Source organism: Homo sapiens, chromosome 3, assembly GCF_000001405.40.
Source record: "Homo sapiens chromosome 3, GRCh38.p14 Primary Assembly".
Classification (NCBI taxonomy): domain Eukaryota; kingdom Metazoa; phylum Chordata; class Mammalia; order Primates; family Hominidae; genus Homo; species Homo sapiens.
The window spans coordinates 142,703,285-142,714,082 of NC_000003.12; the positions used below are offsets into that span (position 1 = coordinate 142,703,285).

Genomic DNA, 10,798 nt, shown 5'->3' on the forward strand with positions numbered 1-10,798 from the left:
AAGAATTTTTTTTTTTTTTTTTTTTTTTGAGACGGAGTTTTTGCTCTGTTGCCCAGGCTAGAGGGCAATGGCGCGATCTTGGCTCACTGCAACCTCCACCTCGCAGGTTCAAGCGATTCTCCTGCCTCAGCCTCCTGAGTAGATGGGATTACAGGCACCCGCCACCACACCTGGCTAACTTTTGTATTTTTAGTAGAGATGAGGTTTCACCATGTTGGCCAGGCTGGTCTCGAACTCTTGACCTCAGGTGATCCACCTGCCTTGGCCTCCCAAAGTGCTAGGATTACAGGCGTAAGCGACCACGCCCGGCCTGGATAGTCAAGATTTTTAGAGTAGGAAGGGATCTTAAAACTTTCCGGCCAGTTGTTCCTCTATCTAGGTTAACCCACTCAGTGCTTTAATATCTTCAACTATAAAATGGAAATAATTATGTCCTTGCTTTCCCTGGGTTATTATTATGAAATTGGTCATATAAATTTAAGGTGTCATCATAATTGTTTTTCAGATGGCTGAACTAGGCTGGCCTATTCTGGAGATATGTTTTTAAAAATCTTTTTATACCCAAACTTTTACTTATTTATAGATTGAAAACTGTAACTATGCAGTGGAACTTGGGAAGAACAAGGCCAAATTCTCCTTGGTTGGCATTGCTGGGCAGGACCTAAATGAAGGGAATTCAACACTTACCCTGGCATTGGTATGGCAGCTGATGAGAAGGTAAAGGCTGATATGTTGGTAGCAACACTGCCTGTTTCCTCCAACAAGTAATCTGAACCAAATTTTTAGCTATTTTTGAACAATAATGAACACAGAAGAAATATACAATGCAAAATATTTTAATTTTTAAAGGATTTACTGTTGATTATGGTTTTTTTGTAAATTATATTTTATTTAAAAATGGGTCAATATCCAGAAACACTATCACTTTTATTAATGCCTCTTAAAAATGGCTTCATAAGGAATTGCTTTAAGTTTTAAAAATACCATGTAGTAGTTTTTGTTTCTGATTAATGAGGTTTGTAACTTTGGAATGTAACTGGGTGCAAATGCCAGACTAAAATTAGAAATATTTATTAGAACTGAACTATTTCTTAAGTATTTATCTAAACATTGATATAAATTATGTGAAAGCAAATTTCACCCTTTTCAGTCTCAAATATACATCTTTTCTGTTGCAGGTACACATTGAATGTGTTATCGGATCTTGGAGAGGGTGAAAAAGTAAATGATGAAATTATAATTAAATGGGTCAATCAGACTCTTAAAAGTGCAAACAAAAAGACTTCTATTTCCAGCTTCAAGGTAATCAAGAGTCCTAAAAAAAATTTTTTTTTGTAGGTATAGGAAGGAATTTTTTTTTTTTTTTTTTTTTTTTTTTTTTGGAGATGGAGTCTCGCTCTGTCACCCAGGCTGGTGTGCAGTGGCGCGATCTTGGCTCACTGCAAGCTCTGCCTCCCAGGTTCACACCATTCTCCTGCCTCAGCCTCCTGAGTAGCTGGGACTACAGGTGCCCGCCACCACACCCGGCTAATTTTTTTTTTTTTTTTGTATTTTTAGTAGACATGGGGTTTCACCATGTTAGCCAGGATGGTCTCGCTCTCCTGACCTCGTGATCCGCCCGCCTCAGCCTCCCAAAGTGTTGGGATTACAGGCATGAGCTACCACGCCTGGCCAGGAACGAATTTTTATTGGAAATTACATTGGTTTGGTTTAGAAATATATTAATGTTGTATGTCAGAAACATGATTTATGAGTTTAGGCATACTAATTATTTGGCCTGTGTAAACTTGAAATATTCAGTTTTAATTACTAAATTTTTGATTGGTTGTCCAGTTAAGTATAAATGTAGGTTAATATTATCTGACTCTGGTAATCTAATCTTAAAAAATAAACAGAATAGAGCTAAAAAAAATCCAGTTATCAAATGAAAAAGATAAGAAGCCATTGTTTATATAGGACCTATAATGTTTTGTGCTCCCTAGCAGCAGTCTCAGAATTGTATTGACATCATTTCCAAGGCATAACAGAGCCAGCCAAACCGATTCAAGTGGGAATTGAGAAAACTGGTAGGAAAAAAAAAATCTTGTCATCTGGCTTCATAATGGCACTTAACACTCACTTCCAAGCATTTGTGGATGATTCATAAAGCACTCAAAATGTAATCTGTACATACATACCCACTAATTTTCATGCATTTCCATTGTGTTTTGCTTTTGCATGCAAGCCGATGTTAGCTACAAATAAGCATGTCTGCTTGTACACATTCATTCAGTGAGCCTTGTGTTTGTGATTTTATTATGTGTGAAAAACTAGCAATAAATTTGTGGTTTTTTTACTGAAATAAAGTACAAAGAGATGAAACACTAAGCTATCCTAAGAGATTATCTACCCATTTTTATTTCTCTCTTTGCCTTCGCTCTATATGCTTAACAACATTGCAAAGTGAAAGAAATGTCAGAAATTTATCAGTTCAATCTTCTCATGTTTGCCAAAAACTAAGACCCAAAACGGTTTTAACAGGACAGCTGGATATTGGCAGAGACGTTGCCTGAGTCCTAGTTCAATTGATTTCCACCCCCCCTTTTCTATCTTGGAAGAAACTAATGACATTGAGTTTTTGTTACTGCTTGTTTTTTTTGAAGTAATTTTCAGTGCATGATTTGTCTCTCTGTGTTTTAAACATAAAACACAAAAATATAAAATAGCAATGGGGATTGTATTATAAAATTCTCTAATTGGCAGTTATTCTTTAAAATTGTTATGTTGAAATTATATGCATTTGCACATTATAGAAAATATTAAACATGTATATAGTTAATATGAGAAAATATTTAGGAGCAAATTAATATTTATTGAGCTCCTATTAAGTAACTTTTATAAGTAAAGAAAAAGGCATAAAGTATAGGAAATTAATTTGGCCCTCAGAGTGTTCACCATTTATTTTAAAGACAAAGATTGTATAACTGAGAAGGTAACAATACTACAGAGTAATAAAATCCAAGTAATGCAACTAATATTATGGATGAAAAGTCTGATCATTTCCAATTGAATGGTCAGTGAAGAGCCGATAAAGACAGCTGGATTTGAACATCATAGATGGTGGGAGGATTTGAATTAGTGGAGAGAAAGGGGGATAACAAACTTAGAAGGGTCCATCTTGAATAAAGGCATGTCTCAGAAAGTTAGGAGAAATAGGACGGTTCCTAAGGGATGTTGCGCAAGACATAAATTGGGTCAAGATTGTAGAGGATTTTGGCCTAAATAAAGGATATTGAGTAAAGGGGGTAATAAGAAAGGCAATTATTTTAGGAATACCAATCTGAATGTAGTGAACAGGATGGGGAGGGAGAATAGTGTAACTGCAAGGACAATGCAAAAGAATCCAAGGCAGTACTCAAGGTGTGATGTAATAAGGGGGCTGGGGCTGGGAATGGAAATGGTAAGATTAGAAAGCTATAAGTTATTGCAAAAGAAGAACTAGGATTTGGCTTCCTGATCTGGGGAAGAAGAAGGGAGGGAGGAGCCAAAACTCTTCATGTTTTGGGCATGGGTAACCGGAAAACAGATAACACTAATAGAAATGAGGATGTCATGAGGTACAGCTACTTCCTGGAAAAGGTGATGAGTTCAGTTTTAAGCTTGAATTTGAGGTAATTTTAGGAAAATGGGGGTGGTGAAAGGAGATACTAAAACTGGAAAGACAGACTTGGTGATCAGTTGAATAAAAGGGTTGAGAAATGGGAGTGCATAAACCTTTTAAGGGAGAGCAACCCTAGAGAACAGCCGACCTGAGAGTTTGGCTCTACTTAGAACTGAGGTGGCAGAAACATCGCGAAAGTGCTTGGCATTTTGCATATGCTTAATGATAAAATCTTTAAAGAGAGTGCAAATGGTTAAGAAATGAGGCAGTGAATGCTAAAACATAGTTGAGGTGAGGGAGGTATTTTTCCAACTACAGAAGGCATTATGTTTGAAGGCTATAATAAGTGGCACTAGCAGAAAAATTTTAATTATAAACAAGGTAGCACTATAGGAATTTCAGAAAAGACAAATTTACCCTTTTTAGCCATAAATTTCCCTTGCTAAGAAGACAGAGAAGGTGGTAGATCAGCAAATAATAATCATAATTACCATTTATTGAGTCCTTCGTGTCACTATGTTAAGCACTTTACACATTGTTTAATTTTCTAAATACTCTGAGCAAAAAGGTGAGCATTAGAGAAGTTAAGTAACTGTCTACTGTCATACAGCTTTTAAGCAGAACAGCTGGGTTTCATATCCAGGTCTGTCTACACACAAGGTGAAAGCCAAGCTTTGGAGTTGTATGGCCCTGGGTTGACTTTTGGCTGAGCTACTGATTAGCTGTGTAGCATACTGCTCATTTATTCCATAAATATTCAAAGCTTGCCCTGTGTCAGGTGCCTTGCTAGTCGCTGTGGCTACATAGTGCCCTCAAAGAGCTCACTATTCAGGGAAGGTGGCAAATAAGAAAACAAGAATCACAGTATGGGGTGTCAGCAATACTATATAAATCAGCTAAGGGGGGAGTGTGGGACCACATGAGAAGGGCATCTGTTTTACAGAAACCTTAGCGGTTTAAACTAACAGCAGGGCTACATCTACTGATGAATAAAACAGAGCTTACTTCTGGCTCAGCATTTAGTATCTGTGTGACCATGGGCAAGTTATTAATTTCTCTATTCTTCAGTTTCCCCATATCTAAAATGGGGAAATTAATAATCCCTCTCTACTAAGATTGTTGTTAGACTACATAAGTTAACAAAATGTAAAGAGCTTAACAGTACCTAGCACATATTAAGGGCTCAATAAATGGGGCTTACCACGCTGTTGGCATTGCTAATATATAAAGGGCATCATATGTGGCAGGACAGGGGACTCTGCTGAGCCTCTTAGGGAAGTCTGGTGTCCACATCACTGTTTTTCCAGATTTATTTGTTTATTTTATTTATTTATTTTTTTGAGACTGAGTCTTGCTCTGTCACCCAGCCTGGAGTGCAGTGGCGCGATCTCAGCTCACTCCAACCTCTGCCTCCCAGGGTCAAGCGATTCTCCTGCCTCAGCCTCCCGAGTAGCTGGGACTACAGGCGCCCGCCATCACGCCCAATTAATTTTTTGTACTTTTAGTAGAGATGGGGTTTCACCGTGTTAGCCAGGATGGTCTCAATCTCCTGACCTCCTGATCTGCCTGCCTTGGCCTCCCAAAGTGTTGGGATTACAGGCATGAGCCACCACGCCCGGCCTTTCCACTTTTATTTTTTAAAATGACAGAAACAGCAGTGGAATGAAATGTTCTAATACATATCAAATAGAGGGAAAAATCATTATCTTGAAAATCAAGCTGTAGGTAATTCTAGATTAAGATATTGAAATTCTTTTTGCCGAAGTCATTTCTTTATGATTAACTTAAGGAAATAAAAGGAGAAATAATGGAAATGTATTTATATACTAACCTAAGGGTTTTCACTATAACCCCTTTCCCTTTGCAAAAGTAAAATGTCTTTCACTGATAATGTACAAATCAGAGGATTTGGAAGACAGGGCTATTTTCTTGGAAACAAGAAGATAAGAGATCTGATACAATCTTTAGAAACTTAAATTCTTCATTAAACTCAGTAGAAGCTTTACGCAAGGTAACTCATAAGAAAATGGGTGGGAAAAATACTTGTTTCCTAAATCTAAATGAAATATTTAAAATAACACAAATATGTAAATAAGGAATCAAATTATAGCACAATTAAATAAGTCACTTGTATTTTAAAAAATAATCATATACATATATGAAAGGTAAGCCCATAGAAATTAAAATGCATTCTAGAATGAAATATTGTTTTTAGAAAGTATAATACAGTACACATTTAGAGTCATCTAGAAAGCTTATTAAAAATGTAGATTCCCAGCCTCATTCATAGATAACCTGACATTAGTTTGAGTGGGGCTAGATTTGCACTTTTAACAAATACCCCACATGATTTTCATGTAGGTGGTCTGCAGACTGATTTCTCAGAAACAGAAAAGATACAAAAAGCAGATCCAGATTACCAGCATCAGATAGACTTAAAGGACCTAATTATTTTTACCCTCTCTCTCTTACCCCTGCCCAGAGATCTGTATCATAAAATGAACATTACCCCTGGCCAAAGATCTGTATCATAAAATGAACATTCCTGCCCAAAAATCTGTATCATAACATGAACATAAGAATATAAATTTTTCTAAAATTAATAAATGAGGCCGGGCACAGTGGCTCAGGCCTGTAATCCCACCACGGTGGGAGGCCGAGGCGGGTGGATCACGAGGTCAGGAGATCACAACCATCCTGGCTAACACGGCGAAACCCCATCTCTACTAAAAATACAAAAATATCAGCCGGGTGTGGTGGCCGGCGCCTGTAGTCCCAGCTACTCAGGAGGCTGAGGCAGGAGAATGGCATGAACCTGGGAGGCAGAGCTTGCAGTGAGCCAAGATGGCAACACTGCACGCCAGCCTGGGCAACAGAGCGAGACTCTGCGTCAAAAAAAAAAAAAAAATTAATAAATGAAGTGGCTCATAGATTGTGGCTCAAAGAAGCTGTTACTCTTCTTCACATGGCTTCAGATTGTTTTATTAGATATTGATTAAGAACTGACATTTGGCTAGAGCCTATACTAGATGTTTTCACCTATACCACCTCAGTATTCCTAAGAATCCTATGACATTCTACTTTAGAGATTAGGAAAGGGTGCTCTGGCTTCAAGTAACAGAAACCCAATTTCAAGTGGTTTAAACCAAAAGGAAAGGTGTTGACTACAATAACAGTAATCCAGAGGTAGGGTAGACTTCTGGATTGGTTGAACCAATAATTGAAGAATGTCATTCAGGACTCTTTTTTTTTTTTTTTTTTCCCATCTCTGCTTTGCCATCTAATGTGCCAGCTTCACCCTAAAGCTGGTTTTCCTTTTGGTCATAGGATAGTTGCTGCTTGTGACAGAGGTTTCATTCTCTCATTCACATCCAGGAGGAGGGGTTGCTGGCTTTCCATAACATAGGCCCAAATTAAATTACTGTGGTAATAGAATAGCATTCCTCTATTTGGCTTAGACCAGTGTTTTGAAATCTTAAAAGAAAATTATCCTCTAAGGAATATTTTTAGACCTTTTTTTCCGTTTTTGTCTCTCCCATGAAATTTTAATGCAGAGATACACTGTATACCTGTTTATGCACTGTATGCTTTATACATAAACAAGGTTATCACCCTACCCCTATTGAGAATGCTTGACCTAGATTAATTTAGGTTCACTCCTGGAACTATGAATGTCAGCTTTCCTTGAAGCTGATGTCTGTGTGAAGGAGGTATGGATATAGAGCAAAAATATGGGTTCTACTTGTATGAAAGAAGTAAAGAGTGTGTAGATTCTGGGTAGGCAAGCAGTGGTGGCCACTATTCAAGCTGAGAGAGAAAACAAATAATTTGTTCAAGTACTGATAAGTGGTAAAAATCAGTTCAGACCAGGATGTCTGATTTCATCTGCAGTGCGCTATTCACTATAATTTAGTTGTCCATTTTTAGCTTGCCTTGGTGGTAACTTAAAAATGGAGAGACTCTTGGGCATTTTAGAGTCAGACTGTCATGGGTTCTGTATTTACTGGTTGTGTAAACAAGTCATTTGAGCTATCTTAACTTTATATTCTTCATCTTTTTTTAAAAAAGAATTCCTTTACTATCAAGATGCTAGGGTTTAAAAGGTGGATTAAATAAACTAAAACATGTAAAACAACAAGACAATGTCTTTGTAAGTGTTAGTTCCCTTTCACTATTTCATTTTTCTTTCTGAAAAATATTAAGGGAAGGCTTTTGGATTCATGGTCTAAGAAATATGTGAGTAGAATTTATAAAATTGTTAATTAAAAATTCATCTATTCCCTTTCAAAAGTTTTGTATTTTTTACAGAATGGACACTATAGTTAGCATACTTAGGAGCTATCATGTCCACAAACCTTATTCAGATATGGTGACAACTCTATATTATATATAAAGATTCAAGGAAAAGTATATTTTAAAGGGTTTATTTATGTGTGCTGGTTGCAGAAAAGCTGAACGTTAGGTTAAGTACAAAGAATTTGTAGATTGCCTTCAGTTATATGATCAGAAGAGTCTGAAAATAATGAAAATTAAAGGTCAGATGTTTATGAATGTTCATCTATGCTTTATTTTCTAGGATAAATCTATAAGCACAAGTTTACCTGTCCTAGATTTAATAGATGCCATTGCACCAAATGCAGTTCGTCAAGAAATGATCAGGAGAGAAAACTTATCTGATGAGGACAAGCTGAACAATGCTAAGTAAGCCTTTATGGTTTATATTACAATACATGGCCCTTTAATTCTCTAAAATCCTTATAGGAAAAGTTACTATGCCCTTAAAATTCATATTTTTAAATATAACTTATATGTGAGTCTTAGATTTAAGACTCACAAACTTAACCTTTTCGTAAAACTAATCTTGTCAAAATATTTCACTCTTTTGTTAAAATATGTTAAGTGAAAACACAGTGGATAACACCAAGATATTTTTCTTGTCTCTTCAAGATACGCCATTTCAGTTGCTCGAAAGATCGGTGCCCGGATATATGCATTACCTGATGACCTCGTAGAAGTGAAACCAAAGATGGTTATGACGGTGTTTGCATGCTTAATGGGAAAAGGACTGAACAGAATAAAATAATCATTTCATATGATTTTCTGCCACATTAAACATATTGTATGCCTCACAGTTTACAGGATTCTGAAATGTAGTGGGTGTAAAACCAGAGATTATTTGTATGCTCAAAATAGTTATATATTCATTAATGAATTCAATATCCTGTTCATACTAGTTAGAGCTGGTCAGCCTTTTTGGGTAACACAGTTAATTTACCAACTGATACAGATAATAGAATATATTCATAATCAAGCTGATACTTCATGATTAAATTATTTTTGTTGCTTAAAAGTCGTATTAGACAAGACTAAATCATTCTTTTTTATGGTTCAAAAAAGATGAATACAAACGTTTTTGCAGGTTCTGCTGTGAAATGTGGTTTGATTTTTTTGGTGTGTTAATTTTGATCATAAATGCATTCATACTCATAATCCAGTTTAATCCTTTTATTTGCTTCCTCCAACTATTTAAAGTGGTCCAAAAACACTTTTCTGTAAGTTTCTATACTGTCTAAAACCTTATGGTGACCAGAATTGTTTATTAATATCAAACTTTTTTATATATGAGAACTAATTCTTGAATAAACCCCAAAGTTCACTCTCTTGTTTAAGTAGCAGCAGCTTTTTACTTAAAATTTAATTTTAACTACATTGATACTTTACACATCCTAGTTTGGTAACACAGCTTTAACTATGTCATGCAACATATATATGTTGGTAGGATGTTATTAGAGAGATATGTGTGCATATATATTTTTTTGCACCTGAATCACCCAGCTTTTCATAAGTGGTATGTTTAATTGGTCATTCAGCCAACCATCAGTATTTTCCCCCCACAACATGTGTAACACTTTTCAGTCTGTGGATATCTGATACATTAAGATTTCTTTTTATAAGTATTCATTTTGAATGTGCATATAGTTATTTGACCCCTTCCAAATACTTGTAGCCAAACATTGGCTAGAACATCCCAAGATATGCTGACACTGTCCTGTTAGCTTCATATTATACTTGCTAGTTTAGGTCTCTATAGAAGCCCTATATAATTTAGAATATGCCCACTGAATATCTTTAATAGAAAGTAACATAAAGCTAGTATTCAATGTAGAGTATTTTCATATGTTTTTCACAGCCCGTTACAAATTGGCAATGTTTGGTTAATGTTTGTATTACTTGGAAATCGCTACAGCTTGGACTATTTTTTTCTAAATTTTTAGCATTAGTCCATTTCTGCTGCTAACAATTGAATCCAGAAATCTACTTTCTCCATCTTCCACTGTTAGTGCCAGTGAGCAATACTGTTGTGCAACAAAAATGTCACTTTATCTCAGTGTGAATGAGTAGTCTAAATTCCCTTTCTACCATTGATTTAAATATATATATTGGTAAGAGAGACTGCCCATGTGTTTAGAATAGAATTTTTTAAATGAAATGATCAACAGGTGGAATTTGAAATATATTCTTCTACAAAAGAGATTTCTTTCCCTTTTATATTTTGATGATTGTTTTCTTAAGATTAAGATATGTTCTTGCTCTTTTATAAGATTATTTAAATTATGTTTCCCTCTGATTTTTTTTCACCATTGTATTTACTAAGTTATTGGATTTACATGAAATCTGGCACTTTAGGGTGTTCTTTTTCTCACAGAGTATATTTAATAAAAATGCTGTGTATATAGAAATGTGTTTATATTTATTTCATTTGAAGAAAAATATTCAGCCTTGAAAATTAGTCTAGCATAAGCTTATTTTCCAGAAAAGAAAAGAATTCCTAAATGAGTTAGTAAAACAAAAAAAAAATTGTGTCTGATTTCTTTGAAGATGAGGGTAGTTCTTTTGTTCTTAAATATGAAGAATTATTAAAAACCAACTGTGTGATTACTACAATTTAGTTTGTGCTGAAATAATTCAGGTGAATCAATCCATTCACAAATTTATCATTTATTATGATCCAGATACTATGCTAGACACTGGGGATTCATCTGAAAAAAATACAGATGAAGTCTCCTGACCTCATGTATCACATCCATGTATGATATCCTAGTAGAGAGACAATTCGTAAATAGGAATTTTAGACAGTGATAATGCAGTAGAAGAAAT

The 10,798-nt window shown here is 35.5% G+C and overlaps 1 protein-coding gene across 16 annotated transcripts in view; it reads left to right on the forward strand.

Moving 5' to 3' along the window:
• Window positions 1-10,380, forward strand: part of PLS1 (plastin 1) — a 117,272-nt gene extending 106,892 nt beyond the window's left edge. For all 16 annotated transcript variants that reach the window (XM_011512903.3, XM_047448323.1, XM_047448324.1 and 13 more), the window contains 4 exons: window positions 584-717; window positions 1,179-1,302; window positions 8,217-8,341; window positions 8,588-10,380. In XM_011512903.3, coding sequence (XP_011511205.1) covers window positions 584-717; window positions 1,179-1,302; window positions 8,217-8,341; window positions 8,588-8,723 — 519 coding nt within the window. In that variant the 3' untranslated portion in view covers window positions 8,724-10,380. The remainder of the gene's footprint in view (window positions 1-583; window positions 718-1,178; window positions 1,303-8,216; window positions 8,342-8,587) is intronic.
• The last annotated feature ends 418 nt before the right edge of the window (window positions 10,381-10,798 follow it).